The sequence below is a fragment of the Homo sapiens genome, chromosome 20 (assembly GCF_000001405.40).
Source record: "Homo sapiens chromosome 20, GRCh38.p14 Primary Assembly".
Classification (NCBI taxonomy): domain Eukaryota; kingdom Metazoa; phylum Chordata; class Mammalia; order Primates; family Hominidae; genus Homo; species Homo sapiens.
The window spans coordinates 13,416,669-13,433,482 of NC_000020.11; the positions used below are offsets into that span (position 1 = coordinate 13,416,669).

The 16,814-nt window shown below is 37.7% G+C and overlaps 1 protein-coding gene across 17 annotated transcripts in view; it reads right to left on the reverse strand.

Annotated features, from left to right (window-relative positions):
- Nucleotides 1-16,814, reverse strand: part of TASP1 (taspase 1) — a 534,161-nt gene that overhangs the window by 311,897 nt on the left and 205,450 nt on the right. For all 17 annotated transcript variants that reach the window (XR_001754319.3, XR_007067463.1, NR_136629.2 and 14 more), the window contains one exon: nucleotides 780-853. Coding sequence is in view for 11 of the 17 variants with exons in the window: in XM_047440269.1 (XP_047296225.1) it covers nucleotides 780-853 (74 nt within the window). In the remaining 6 variants the exon portion in view is untranslated. The remainder of the gene's footprint in view (nucleotides 1-779; nucleotides 854-16,814) is intronic.

Consider the following 16,814-nt stretch of genomic DNA (forward strand, 5'->3'; position numbering starts at 1 on the left):
CACAGCTTTATAACTGAGGTACTTTAATGCCAAGTAAACATCACAGGCCACAGCTGTTTCTAAAAAATTTATGAACAAGAAGAACATGAGGCCAATATAAAATAAAATCCACAAATCATGTTGCTTATTCCCAGGCTCAACCATCATGAGTCCAGGGAAGCAAAGCAACTCCGGAGATAGTATGTGGATGCCTATGTGATTATTGCAACTCACTGAGCGACGAGTGCCACAGGCATGTGGGACATGGACAGAGACCTTTAATTCTGCCCATGAAGACACCAGGTCAGGGCATGACAGAACACACTGAAAGGTGAGACAGGTCATATTTGCAAGCATGTCAGCCACCTGTGCCATCAAACATGCAGGATGCTTTCTAGGGTTAAAGCTTGTTTGACTCAGTTTCCTTTATTCCAACACTTCTTGCAGAAACATCCATCTATGTCAGCTCATCAGCTTCACTCCCATTTTCTCTTCCCAAACCCCAGTTTCCTCTTCTCTACTTATTCACAATGGGCAAAAAGGAACAAGCTGGGGGCTGTGGGGGAAAGTGGGCAGGCTCCTCCTAATGCTCCCCTGCTGTGTCACCAAAAGCAAAATAGATATGCTGGTTTTCTCTGGAGCTGTTAGCATTGTTAACTGTTCTTATTCGGATGCTTATGAAGACCACAAAGCTACTGCCCAAAAAAAGCTGAAAAAATTCATCCACATCAACTTAGCTGGTTAGAGGTTTATGCGATGGCTACAAGGTTTTCAGGTTATGACCGTTTTTTCCCACTTACCTTGGCTTTCCCATCCTGGGCTGACATATATCCGACACACATGCTCTCCGTCGTGTGGCTCCACAGAAATTCCACTGCCATAAAAGAGAACACAAATAGGCACATTCAGATCACAGATGGAAAATAAATCTTTGCTTTTTAATAGAACAGTTAAAGATAGCTTTATATTTAACACACTCAGTTCCCCACTTTCCATTTGCTTGTTCATAAATGTCAAGATGATTTATCACTAAAACTGTGTAATGCCATTTACTGTGAAATGAAAAATGTATCTCTTTCCTGTCAAAAGTTATGATTATTACATGTAAAATAAATGCTCTTCTGTTTGACTCTTGTAACATTAAATGCACACACACACACTCGTACATACGGTACACAGTGATTTTGTAAATGTAATATTCCATAGTGTGTTTTATTTTAAAACACGTGCATGCACACACACACACATACACACACACCAGGTCTTAATTTCTTTCCTTATTGAGACGGAGTTTCACTCTTGTTGTCCAGGCTTGAGTGCAATGGCGCAATCCCAGCTCATTGCAGACTCTGCCTCGCAGGTTCAAGTGATTTTCCTGCCTCAGCCTCCTGAGTAGCTGGGATGACAGGCATGCACCACTACACCCAGCTAATTTTGTATTTTTAGTAGAGACGGGGTTTCACCATGTTGGCCAGGCTGGTCTCGAACTCCTGACCTCAGGTGATCCACCCGCCTTGGCCTCCCAAAGTGCTGAGATTACAGGTGTGAGCCACCGCACCCAGCCCTTAATTTCTAAATACCATTCTCTACGAAAAAGAACCAGGATTCTTTGGAGAAATGTCCATTCCAGAGCTGGGACAGAGAAAATATAAAATGAATCTGGAACATCTTGTTGTACCAGAAAAGTAAGGAAATGCTCAAAGAGTAAAGGGGACTTATCCAAAAGACCCAGGGGTCAACTTGAAGGGCTCTTACTGGCAAAAATCTGTGCCTATGAAAATAAATAATGAGAGTAATGAGTTATAACCACTGAACAAAGTCAGAACCAGTGAGCCCATACTGATCCAAACAAATAAATGGGGAAGAAGACAAAGCTCTTCCTTCAGCAGAATGCCAACTAATAAGTATAGAAAAAATAACAGAGTTAGAAAATAATGGTTGCTAAAACTAGTAGGTGGAAATTTGAAGAAGGATGGGCTATTTACATAGCTTCAAAGTATCTCTCCAAAAAATTCTTATAACAGGAAAAACTGTTTGTTCACTGTGGAAACACTTGATGGACTCCAACTTAACTCCATGAACAAAGCTAACACCACCAATTAAGGCACAAATCAGTACCATGTGCCTTTTGATAAGATACCTTGAGACACAACACTTCTGTGGTATTTGGTATTCCTGACAAAAATGCATAACCAGAATTGAATGAGGAAACATCAAACAGACTTGAAATAGCAACACTCTACTAAATAACTGGTTTGAACTCTTCAAAAATGCCAAAGTCAGAAAACACAAAGTTGAGAAACTTCCTGTTTAAAGAATACATGACAACTGAACACAATGTGTCATTCTGGATTGTACCCTGGACTTGGTGGTGGGGAGAGATGTTATAAAGGACATTATGGAAACAATTGATAAAGTTGGAAAAGGGACTCTGGGTTAGACAGTAGTGTTGTATCAATACTAAAAGCCATGACTTTGATAACTGTACTGTGATTATTTAGTAGAATGGCCTTGTTCTTAAGAAATACTCACCAAAGTATTAGGAATAAAGGAGCCTGATGTCTCCAATTCACTCTCAAATAGTTCAGGGAAAAAAATGCACTTATTTGTTTGTGTGTATGTGTGTGTGCATGTGCATGCTCGTGTGCATGTAGAGGGAGGAGGGCATGAGGATGGGAAAGCAAATGGAAGGAAAGGAAAACACTGGTTGAATCTGGGAAAAGGAATCATGGTTGTCCCTTGCACTATTCTTGCAACTTTTCTGTATGTATAAAATTATATCTAAATAAAAAGTTACAAAAAGAAAACTGCAAACATCCAGGGATGCCCACAAAGCTCTGTCACATTCCAGTACACAGCATCAAAATTCTGAGTTTTCGAAGGCATTTTTAAAGTTGTAATGTACTCCAATAAAAATTTCAAAAGTCCCTGATAATAAAACTGCATTGCTCAACACTAAACCCTGTCCCCCAGGCCATCCATCTGTTTATATCTCTAAGCTAGTTAAGCCTGGAGACAAGTGTTTGAGTTGAGACCCAACTGTGTGATCCATGATCCTAGCCTCTGAAGGCTTTGCCAGACATGTGGGGAAGAAAGAGGCAGTAAGGGGCAAAATGGAGTTCCTCAGATACATGGCTCATTCCCTTATCATTAATTAGTTATCAAACCTGCCAACCTGCTCAACAGACGCTCCACTGAAGAGTGAAGGAAAAGTGTCACGCAATGAAGCAAGTTCTCTTCACCAGATGTTTTTTCGTCCACACACATCTGCTTTAAACTTCAAAAATCTTGACATCCAGAGCAAGGTCTGGGATAGTCTAACTTGCCTAACAGAGGAAAGGCACTCAAGTCTTACTGAAGTTCTCTAGAGTAGTGACAATACATTTTATTCAAATACAAAGTTAAAGCATTTCTAAAATTGCACCTTTTCCTCATGCCCCGAATATTAAGGGGGCAACTGCTCAGGAATTAGCCAAGAAAAATCATAAAAATATAGCCAATATGACCATGAGAGCAAAGGATAAAGACATTACCCTTTATTTTTTAAATATCATTTTAATGATTTTTAAATGTATTATTCTCCCTATAAATGTAGTCTGCTTTCAAAAAATGGAATAAACACAAAAATTTAGACTTACAAAAGAGGATAAATTAGAATACACTGATGAACTTCATTAAATGACTATTTTTATATGAATGGTTTTCAATAAAATTTCTAGATCTAGTGTTTAGGAGTTTTTAAAGAAAATAACTCAATGTCTAAAATTTCATTCTTCACTGTTTTCACAAACATTTATCCCATCCCACAGTAAAAGGCAAAGCATTGTACTGACACATTTTTTAATAATGACAATTCAAATCAGTTTTCAGTTATTAATTCACGCTAGCTTGAAAATCTCAGAAGAAATTGTCTAGAATTTAAATTATAAAACACTTTTAAGAGAAATTATTTCATTACTTGTAGTACATGCATAATGCAAGTTAATTTAACAAATTATTTCTTAGTGGAAGACTTCAGGGAAGCAGGACAAGGAGCAGCTAACACTTAGAATCTAAGATGTGCCAGGCATTGTCTTTCATAGCAGAACTCAGCAAAGCAGAAATGGGGAACCTGAGGCTCAGAGAAGGGAAGCAGTACGGTTTAAGTCATTTTACTAGGCACACAGACTGGATTTCAAGCTGGACTCTGGGATCACAAAGCCTGTGGTATTTCATTGTTATATTACTCTGAAATCTACTCAGTATAGATAAGGATTTGTACTTGTTACACATTAAGAAGACCAAATTCCTTACAAACACCAAAAGACACGAAACATCAAACACAAACACCAAATAACTCTTAAAACATTTTAAATCTCTCTTAAGGAAAGCTTTTAAACCATAACGAAACCCAGAGACCACAAAAGATGGCCAAGATCAATATATTTGACTAGTTAAAAAGTATTTATAGCGTTTTCCTTCTTTTTTTTTTTTTTTTTTTTTTAAGACAGAGTTTTACTCTGTCACCTAGGCTGGAGTGCGGTGGCACAATCTCAGCTCACTACACCCTCCACCTCCCAGGTTCAAGCGATTCTCGATTCTCCTGCCTGGCTAATTTTTGTATTTTTAGTAGAGACAGGGTTTCACCATGTCAGCCAGGCTGGTTTCGAACTCTTGACCTCAGGTGATCCGCCCACCTCAGCTTTTCAAAGTGCTGGGATTACAGGAATGGGCCACCGCACCTGGCCTGTTTAGAGTGTTTGTTTTTGCCATTTGGAGAAAAATGAAAGTCAAGAGATGAATGACAAATTTGGGGAAATATTTGCAATTCATAGCATAAACAAAAGGCTAATTTTCTTAATATTTAAAGATCTCCTACAAATCAATGAGACAAATATCCAAAGAAAATGCAAAAAGGATATGAACAAAAGGGAATATGAATGGCTCTAAAACATATGAAAAGATAATTTACATTACTCATACTAAAATAAACGCAAATTAAAATCACAAGATACCATTATCAGGTTTCAGACTATTATCAGACTACCAGGTTTCAGATATCAAAAAGTTTGAAACAACATCGTGTTAGCTGGGAGTGGAGAAAAGAGCAGATTCATATAGCAGTGGTGGGAGTATGGCCATCTGCAAGAACATTCTCTTAATCCGTGGTAATTATGCTCTGTAATGCTGATGAACACTGAATTAGCAAATAATGAGCCACTACAGGTAGGGAAAATACAGGGCTAAGTTCCTGCAAATCTCTGGTCAAAACATTTTTAATAGCATATCAACAAATAACCTTATTTTATATGTGTTTCTGTTTAACCTTTTTTTTTTTTTTTTTTGACAGAGTCTCGCTCTGTCACCCAGGCTGGAGTGCAGTGGTGTGATCTCGGCTCACTGCAAGCTCTGCCTCCCGGGTTCACGCCATTCTCCTGCCTCAGCCTCCCTAGTAGCTCGGACTACAGGCGCCCACCACCACGCCCGGCTAATTTTTTGTGTTTTTAGTAGAGACGGGGTTTCACTGTGTTAGCCAGGATGGTCTCTCGTTCTCCTGACCTTGTTATCCGCGTGCCTCGGCCTCCCAATGTTTAATCTTTTAAAAATATTTATTTACTTATTTATTTAGAAATAATTATATGCATAAACACTAGCCAAGAAGGGTTTAACGTTTTCCTGATGCTGGGTAACATGCCCATAAATTTCTTTGGCTTTCAAGTTACACAATAATGCTGTCCTCTATGCTTTTTTTATTGGTCATCATTTCATGAATCTACTAATTTAGCTGCTTTTCCATCTTTTCCATTGCTGCATATATAGATGTTACTTTAGCACCTTCTGGAGCAGCCTCACATACAGATCAGTGAGTTTCCTCTTCTTTTATCTGGGTGTATCATATGGTTGATTCATTAACAATGAATTCACCACTAATAGCACTATAATTTCTGCCTAAATGAAGCTTATCCAAAATGCACATTTTTCCCCATGAGACACTACCATCTTCTCGCACTCTGAAACACCAGACAGCACTTCAGTACTATGCTTGGCGCAATTTTAAATGGCAAAATCACCATTAAAAAGTGCAAAAATGTGGAAAACATGGCACAAAATAGGCCACAAAATGGATACATTTGTAGTACCAGAGCTGAGACAGGAAGGCAGAACATCATCTTGTTTACCTCAGCTGGGAATGTGCACATGAGGTGACTCAAAATGTTTACCAGTTCATGCATGTCCACAAGTGACTATGAGAGTGCTGAAATGCTGATTCATGGATTACAAATAAATGTTAGCAAGTAGGCAAATTAACAAATACAGAATCCAGGAATAATGAGGATTGACTGTATTTATCAAAATTACACACTCTTTGACCTAGCAATTCTATTTCTAGATATTTATTCCACAGATATGCCTTTATATATATAAAATAACATATTTATAAGAATCTTCATCAAAGTAGCTTTAATCAGCAAGAAACTGGAAACCAATTAATTGCCTATTGGACATATGTATAACTATGATACTGTATACAATGAAATACTATGTAACAATTAAAAACAAATGAGGAAGCTCTACATGGATATGGAACCAACTACACTGTTTTTCAAACTTTTTGATCACAAGCCACAGTAAAATCCAAAACCAAATCAAAACAAACAACAACAAAAAAAACCCCACACATTGTCATTTACTACACACATCTATTTATAACTAAAATTTCACAAAGTAATAATTGCTCTTCTACTTAACAATGTATTGATCTCTTCTACTGGGTTCTTTATAGTCTACTTATTGCTTTTTAACAATTCTGCTTGTGATTTACTAAATTGATTTAGAACTTATTAATGTGACATGCTGCAGTTTAAAAAAAAACACTAGTCTACAAGATAGCTTGGCTAAAAAAAGAAAGGTAAGGTGGAGAATAATGTATAGATATGGTTCTGCCATTTTTGTGAAATAAAATAAAAGACGATCATGTATGAACATGCTTGTAAGTACATAGAGTCTCTCTGGAAGACTATCTTAGCAACTGGCAGCAACGGTTCCTCCTGTAGAGGGAACTAGTTGAGTAAGGAACTTGAGTGAAGGGCAACCTATTTTTCACCACCTTCTGAAACTTCTGAATTTGATCCTGTTTTCATATATTTCCTATTTTTTAATGCCTCTAAAAATCTTGATTACCCTGTTAACCTACAATATATATGAAGAATTTCTTCCCTGTTTAGATGAAGACATTCTGATTTTAGCATATATTTTAATTGTCCCTCATTAGAATGTATTATCATGATGTGAAACTAGTCTAAAACGTCCAATTTGTTTCTTGTCTCATGATTATCTAAAACATAAGCAAATCTTAGGATGGGGCATGAAGAAGCCTCTACTTCCATTTACACCAAACACATATACTTAAGGCAAAATCTGCTATGTTCAAAGGGCAATCAAAACAAACAGAACAAAACAAACACGCACTGTACCTGACAACTTCCTCAAGCTGCTTTTCCATCAGAAATTTTAAAAGGTCAAAATCATTATAAGTTTTTTTTAAAATAAATAGAGACATTTGTGAGTAAGTTTTATCTCACAAAAAAGCTTTCAAAATGTGTTATTAGTTAAGTCCTAATGTATAATTAAAACTCAGCAAAGAGTAGTACAAAGTTTGCTCAAATACGGTTACATAGAAAAATTTAAAATCTCAGTAAAAGAGTAGCATTTACCATCAGTGATATCTGGAAGTCTATAATGTGTCTCCTGATTTTGAGTACTTAATTGAAATTCTTCCATGTACTGAAAATTGAAGTTTATGGTAAGAGTATTAAAAGATAATTCTAATAACACAGCAAACCTGGGAAATGCTACTTCATAGCACTGGAATTTTTCCAGGTGTAATGATTACATGAGGAAGACCATGAACTCCAGCAACACGCAGGGTAAATGAGTGGCCTGAAGTGACACATCTGAGCCTGTGAAAGCGCTGGCTATAACAGTCTCGGTGTGGTCAAGCTCAAGCTTATTTCCATCTAGAGAAGCTTCTAGCCTTTCAGTAATGACCATTTTCCTTTGGTAGTGACTAGTAGCTGTTTATAACCTCAACTACTGATTGAAAAATGCTTATGTTCTTTAGAAGGCCAAAGCCCAGGGCTTTGTGGGACTTCTAGAAATGCCCAGACCACGAAAAGATTCTCATCAGAAAACATTAACAACACACTAAAATAAGATTCTGAGTAGGTTTAACATGTGAAACATAGACACAGAGATTTGGCACAATTCTTCTCCATCAAGTGGCTTCTTAACATATCATGTCATACAAATGCAATGTGAGAAAACGTACACACCATTGATCCTGTTCCAACATTGGAGAATGGCTTAGATAGGGATGAGCTGCACGTGTGCACTTCATAAATGATGGATTAATTGCATTATAAGAACCTTCAGGATGTATTTGTACTTAATCTTAGAGGCTAGGCTTTCCAGAAAGTTGTATTTAAGAATTTGGAACAAGTAAATTTATATGCCCAACACCGGTACTACTTCAGTTTTGGTGGAGCTCTGCTATATAAAGCAGCCCTTAATCCCCAATGCAAGGCTTTGCCTCCTAGTGGCATTTAAATCACCAGCTTTATGGGTTAAAAGAGCTACAAGCTACCTCTCTCATGATGTTTTCCCCAGGATACTTCTCTTTCAAAATCATCCACATATCATCCTGTTTAAATTAAGTCAGACAAAACCATTTCCTTACCAGGTTGCAAGTAAGTTTTTTCTATCCAAATGGATTCTTTTTTCTGACCAGAAAGAAGTCATCAGTCACTCTCCTCCTCTTTAAAAATATATATACATATATTGTCCTCCAATTGTTGTTAACAACCCCCAGCTGCACTGGCTCCCACACCCACTTAAAACCTCTCTGCTTAGCTTCACATCCCAGACTTGCTTGCAAGGAAAACAGAACTCCAAAATCAGAACCGTCTTGGGCTGGGCAGTTGCCAAGTTAGCTGCCACTCTTGAGCCTTAGGTCAAATGGCACGCCCTGGGACATTTTGCACAGTATTTAAGTTACTCCTTATTGAATAAAGAGAAATTCATTTTTTAAATGGGAAGAATGAGGCACTGTAAATAGAACAGCCTCCTCTTATCACTGTAGATTTTTGCCCCTGGTTGTTAGGGTCTTTATAACCAGCAGGGTGTTTATCTTTAGAAAAAAAAAATGCAAAGACGCTTTACTGTCTTGACATGGAATCCTTAAGACTCATATAATGCATGTCCCATTATGGCCATGAAGAAACTTTGACTTGGCATGCTTCCCTGAAAAACTTTCACCACTTAACTGTCTTGGGAGCAACGGGGATTGAGTTCTATAGAATCCTGGTTACACTAAGCCAAGAAAATAATCATTCCCTCTTTCTAAGGCTTGTTTAGATTTGTTCAAGACTAACTAACAAAGGATGCTGACTGAAAAGAGGAGGATGTGGGTCAAATAGTAACAAAAGTCCTGGAGGACACTTCAGTTATCTTCCTGTTTTATCCTTTTATTGTATTAGAAGCTGCTGGAAACAGGGCCACTTGGTTGGGACTTGGAAGTTCTCTGGTGAACAGAAAACCATTCAGTAAAACAAGTTTTATTAAAACGCAATTTTATTCATTCAACCAACACATTTTTAGGATTTATTTCATGGTAAACTCTATTATCCTTTGAGCAGATGAAACTGACTATAAAATTTCCTGAGTGTAATAAGAATTACATAGTCATTAGAATTCTATTCATAAATTTTTGTATTCTATATTTCAGATGGAAAACTTTGTGAGCCAAAAAATAATATTTCTTGGCAAGATAATCACTAGAACTATACTTCTCATGATGGAGAAGAAAATTACAGATGAAAATCTATTTCCAATATTCAGAGTATATTAGTGATACAATATATAGAGATATGTTCATGATTTAAAGGAAAGAAAGTCCTGGTATAAACAAAGTGTCAGATTATAGATACTTGCAATCAATATCTTTGTATTATAAAACCAAAACTAATTCTGAAAATATTAATCTCAGAGCACTACTTCATCAGATTAATGCTACTCTTCATTGTTGAAAAGTTTAAATATCATGTCTGCCTCATTCACCTTGCATCTAAGTTACTTACTGTTCTTCATTCCATCTGATCCTTAAATAAGAACTAAAATGTGGCTTATCTCTTAAGAGATATCTTCACTATAGTGAAGATGTAACAATTCCAAAACATTGCTGAGGCAACTAAAGAAATGAGCTTCCAACCATGACAATGGACTGTCACGTAGAACAAAGTTTTAATTCCATTCTTAAGATAAAGTTATTAACATCAGACAAACATCTATAAATACCTCTTTTCCCACTACCAGCCTAAAAGCTAATTTGTGTTCTCTTTGATGGTTATGTTTATGATCATGTGAGCCCAGCAGAAATGCCTAGTCATAAGTGCTCACTGTGGCATGTGCCATGTAATGGAAATAAGTGATATTGCTGGTGCCCTGAGAATGAAGCTCCTTTGAAGTACATGTGTTTATATGTGCTCGCCAAATTTTTAATACCAGTAAAACCAAAAGGCGGTTTGGAATTTTAACTTACAGTAAAATAACCTTTTATCTTTTTAATGTTCCAGGAAGCATCAATTCAATTTAACATTTTTTATTTTGAAACCACAGCATACTTTGGTAACAGCAACAAAACAAAGTACTCGATAAAGAACTTTGCCTATTCTGAAAAGAGGGAGGAAAATACTGCATTTGAGTTCTAATTGGCCACAGTAAAACAGTTTGATTTGATAGAGCTATGTCTACAATGATAAAATAACTCATTATCCTTTCAGGTAATTATGTGAGAACATGCGGAAATTTTCATATAATAAATCATATACCATTTATATAAAGTTTAAAATCAAGGAAAACTAAACAATGTACCATTTAGAGACATATAAAAGTGTGAAAAAGCTTTCAGGAAAAGCAGGGGGTAAACACAAAGTAAAGGAGGGAGAAAGCACAGTAGTAAGATCAGAGAGGCCCACATAGGGGCTTCAAACATATGGGTAATGGGCAATTTCTTAGGCTTGGTGGCAGGTCCACAGGTGTTCATTTTATTATTGTCCTTTATAACTTACAAATTTATTATGTCCTTCTTTTAAAAATATATTAAACATTTCATAGTAAAAGATGAAAAAAAGGATAAAAGGGTAGCTGGACAAATGGAAGCAGGATCATGTACAAAAGTTAATTATCAGCATTATGAACACATCTGTTGATAGGAAAGAATCTGAAGTTATTCTCTGCATAAGGTGGGGTTAACTTAATGGCAAGGTAACAATTACATGTGTGCTCATCGCATAATCAGGCTCTGGATGAACTGTGGGCCTCAAATCTGTTTAGGATGAAGAACTCCAACACAAGCTTGGCACAAAAGCCACTGGTTAAACACACAGCCTCTTTTTACTTCTAAGAGCCCATATGCCTCCTATCCTGAATTGCTTAAGATTTTTCTATATGGAATCTGTTTTTCATTGATCGCCACATTCACTGCTTCCTACTGACCACTCCCTGGCAGACACCCTTGAACTTCATAGGGTCTATCAGGCTCCCAACAACACATGTTTTGGTACAAGGTGCAAAACAGGAAATTAACCCATATACTAAGCTTGGCTGTTTATGCTATATATTTGCATATATTCTAATTACCTGTATCTAATTACAAGCTTAAAATGGTAAAGAACTCATTTTTTTCACCAGAAGACTTGGTTTGGTATGCCTGCCTTTGTTTATCCATTTATTAACCATACTATATACGGCAGCCTCAATAAAGCACTTCTGTAGAGGCCTGGAAAGCACATGTAATTGTACTTCAGCAGGTAAAAATACATTGGCTTATTTTTTCTCTAAAAGCAGAGAGAAAATTAATTCTTTTCAGCTGTTTCATTCCAGGGACAAGCATTTGCTTTGCGTTAAATCAGCGATTTGTAGGCTGGGCTTTGTCAGCATCTCATGATCTGGGGGTAGGAGGTGGCAGGATGGGTGTTGCAAACATGTTCACATCCAAATTGTCCCTTTACAAGGCTATTTGCAGAGACTTTCCTCTGTGATCCCTTTAAACTGCCTCAAAATCATCTAGTTCTTGGATGCTCCTCATTATCCAACATTTCCAACCAATATTGTTTGTTTTTTTGTGAGCATGAGAATATTTTCTGTGATATTTCATTTTTCTGGAACAAGAATCAACTTCTTTTAAAGTTTCTGCTAAATCATCAATAAAGAAACTCCATTTGGCACCTAAATCATCCATCCAATAATTATTGGGAACCTATTAAGTTCAATATGACATGGCTTCTGCCCTCAAATAGTTCACAATCTGGTGGTATGATTCTTAGAAGCAGTGGAATTTTCCAGCGCCTGGAAAGATATTTCAAACCTCTATAGCCCCTGTGTGTGTCACTGGAGCTCAAAGACCTATGATTTATTCCTCTCAAATAACTGAGTTCAGAAAAAAGATTAAGAAGTGCTGGCCTATGAGAAGGGGCTAGGATGTGTCACAGTCATTGTTAGAAGGAATGTCAACTGCATGGTGCTAACAGAGCACAAGGAAAGAGCAAATTACCTGGGGTGAGGACTTCCAGAGGATTCGAAGAAGATTCACATTTGATCAGGGTTTTAAAGACTTGTATTGGCCCAGAGCTTAGCACAGCAAGAGCATATGCAAGTTATTGCGGGAAAAAAATAACTCTTTGGAAGACCAAGTGATGTGGAGTGGCCAGAGTTGAGACATTGAGAATGAATGAAGAGAAAAACTAGTTGAACTCCATGAACATATACAATTATTACGATTATTTGTCAATTATTTTTTTTTTTTAAAAAGGACTAGTCAGAAATAACACTGAAAGCATATTCTGAGGTCAGATCAGGGGATGCCATTTCCCATCAAGTTAGGTAGCTCCCATTTGTGCTATAGGAAATTCACCAGCACAGGGTGTGTGTGAGTGTGTGTGTGTGTGTGTGTCTGTCTGTGTGTGTGCCTGTCTGTGTGTGTGCTGCCTGCTGAAAAATTAAAGGTAGAGAGCATTGAAGTAACAGTAAGAGATACATGTTTGTTTTTATTTTAGTATACATAAGAAGATTCAACATTTAGCTTAGACGTATAGTAAACTAATTACATATACTTATGTCACTCTTGGGTTGAACAGTGTCCTTCTGATCTTGGGATTGGTGTGGCTCTCTAGGTCAGGTTCTCATTTTTGCCCTTTCTTCTTTCGGGAAGTCTTCTCTCCTGCCCCTGGTTTGGGACCCATGGCTATGTTCTCTGGGCCAGCTGCAGAGTTGTTATATAGAAAGAACTCTGGGAGCAATAATGGAGACGGGACTGAGGGGACAAATAGAGGAAGAAAGGCTGGAGGTGAGGAGGCTAAGGAGGTGAGGGAAACTTGATTACAGACTGCAATGTAAAAGGACACGCATCATATTTGTCCTAGAGGGTCCCCAAAAAGAGAATCAGGATCTACTGATGAAAACCAAAACCCAACAGCTGCCTAAAGATGGCAACAGAGCATCTTGATTTGTCATTACAGCTCATTAGACGAAAGGGCTTAAAAAGTTTATTAGTTATCTACTGCTACGTAATAAATTCTCTCAAAATGCGGTGGTTTAAGACAGCAAACACTTATTATCTCAGTTTCTGTGGGTCAGAAATTCCACGGTGGCTTCATTGGGTGGTTCTTTAGCAGGCTCTCCGATGAGATTTCAGTCAAGATGTTGCCATAGACTGCTGTCACCTGAAGGCTCACTCAGATCTCTGAGGCCGTTGGCAGGAAGCCCCGGTTCCTCAGAAGCAGCTGTTGGGAGGAAGTCGCAGTTTTTTGCGAAGTGGGCTTCCCCACAGTGCTGCTTGAGTGTCCTCATGACATGGCAGTTGGTCTCACCCAGAGGGAGTGATTCAACAGAGAGCCCAAGGAGGAAGCCACAATGCCTTTTTGACCTAGTCTCAGAAATCAGACACTTTCACTTCTGCCATAAATTTATTGGTTGGAAGCGAGTCTCTAGTGTTTGGCTCACAGTCAAGGGCAGGGAAATTGAGTTCCACCTCTTGAAGGGAGGAGCATTCAACAAACTATGGACAAAGCACCTGTAACAAGGTCACACAAGTGGACTTTGAAAGTTCCTTCATACCTGAGATTCTCCGATTCTATTCATGAATCAGTAGACAAAGGGCAAACCTCAAAAGTGTCTGTTACTTGAGTCATATCACCTTGGAAGCAGCCCACTGGAGCTCTGATAACTAATGTATTTGTCAAGAGGAAAGTCTACATAACGGCTTCCAGGAAACTCCATCAAGTGGCAATGAGGTTCGACTGAAAACTGCTTGTGTGGTGTAATGAGAACATTATTTACAATTTTGAGAAAAGAAAGTGGACACAGAAAAGGCTACAGTAGGAGATTGTGTGATTATATTATTCTTGGGACCAAAAAAGTGATTAACAATACACAGCAGTTAAGTTTTTTTTTTTAATTTTGGAAATTGTTTTATTTGGATGTGTAGAAAAGAAAGACTTCTGAGCTTTCCTCGTTACTAGAAATTACTGAGCTCCAGAAGCCATGAGTTTATAGTTATACTCTTATGACAGTGAAAAAGTCATAAAGTCATGGGAAGTCATGGTCCAAACACGAAGCAAATTAATTTATAGCCTGATTTGGAGCAACTGATAGAAAGGAGAATCCACTTGATCTTGATGACTGAAATAGTCCCCTTTTACAGGCAGAGGTTTATGACAAACCCTGATCTTTATGGGTCCAATCTTCTGCTTCTAGGGTATGCAGTGAGCACTATTTATACTATAATCTTGATGCTGTTAATGCTGGTTACTGACATTATTTAGAATCAATCCCTGATCAAACTATAGAGATAAGTACAGATATAAGAAGGCAAATGTTAATAATCATAACAACAATGGTATTGTTGACAGAGGTTGAGGTGAGGTAGGAGAGTGAAGGAGGAAGAGAAAAGGAGAAAAGCGAATGCTATAGGGTCTGAATGTTTGTTTCCTCCAAAATCCATGTTGAAACCTATTCCCCAATACGGCAGTATTAAGATGTGGGACCCTGAAGAGGTGATTAGGTCTTAAGGACTCTGCCCTCATGAATGGATTAATATCTTCATAGATTAATGGGTTATCATGGGAGTGGAACTGGTGGTTTTATAAGAAGATGAAGAGAGACCTGAGCTAGCACACTTAGCCCCCTCACCATGTGACATCAGTGTGCCCCTATGGGACTCTACAGATAGTCCCCGCCAGCAAGAAGGCCCTCATCACATGCAGCCCCTTGGCCTTGGACTTCTAAGCCTCCATGACTGTAAGAAATAAATTAATTTTCTTTACAAACTACTCAGATATTCTGTTAGTTTTAGGTATTCTGTTATAAGCAATAGAAACAGACTAACAGAAAACAGTGCATGAACTTTCCTCAACTTATATAGTTGAAGTGGTGAGGAATGTTTGATAGACATTATATAAAGTTAATATATCAAGAAACAGTGTGCTAAAATACAATAAAATTAAACATATTATTTCAAGTTAGAGTAGAATTCCAACAAAAATCAAGAAGGAAGGGAAGTGGGACATGGTGTGAGCTAAGTTTTTAACTTTTTCACAGCAAGGGGTCACAAGTTACTGACTAATCAAGAAATAGATGTGTGAGCACATTCTACAGAGTGAGGGTGTTTCCCGTGAGAATAACCAGAACCAAAGACTGACTGGTGGCTCTGGAAATGGAGTGTAAAAGGTGACTTTCACATCTTTGATTCCTGTCCTTCTATACTGTTTGAATTTACTTTGTTTCCTATCCTTCTATACTGTTTGAATTTATTTTCTTACCAAATACTTCACATTCATAACTTTTATAGAAAGTTCACATAATTGGTAGCATCTATAAGTTGACATTAGCCTATGTTCGCCAGGTTTTAGTAGATAAGCTTCATAAGCATCAACGCCTCCAGTTAATGAACGGCAAGGTTTCACTTATTTCATAAACTGGCACTTCACACTTAATGCTTCCTCTTGAAATAAAGAGTAGGAACCAGTTTATAAATCACTACATTGGTAATAAAAACTATATAACGTGAGCTAAAATACTATGACTTATCCTTAAATATGCATTTCTGTACCACCAAAAATGAAAAGACAACCAAAAAGACATTACAGTTTTCAGGGTTAACACAAATGGGTAAGAGTCCAGGCTCAGCAAAGTACTGTGATACTCCTTTTTAGGAATAATCGATGAAACAATTTTAATGCCCCCCCCAACCCACCGCTGCCCAAACACTAGGGGTTATTCTTCTGAGGTTTTTTGTTTGTTTGTTTTACTATACTTTAAGTTCTGGGATACATGTGCAGAACGTGCAGGTCTGTTACATAGGTATACACGTGCCATGGAGGGCTTGCTACACCCATCAACCTGTCATCTACATTAAGTATTTCTCCTAATGCTATCCGTCACCTAGCCCCGCACCCCCTGACAAGCTCTGGTGTGTGATGTTCCCCTCTCTGTGTCGATGTGTTCTCACTGTTAAACTCCCAGTTATGAGTGAGAACATGTGGTGTTTGGTTTTCTGTTCCTGTGTTAAGTTTGCTGAGAATGATGGTTTCCAGCTTCATCCATGTCCCTGCAAAGGTTTTATGTAAACCCCATGTCCATCCTCTGCTTATGTTTAAAACCAACCAGGTTGGGTTTAACTATCTAACTGGAAGAATATTCAAAGGATTCAACAACGATTAAGACACCAAAGAAGAAAACTAGTATTTGTCTTGGTTTAACAAAACATGACTGTTAAAAAGCACATCTCCTTGGAGGAACCT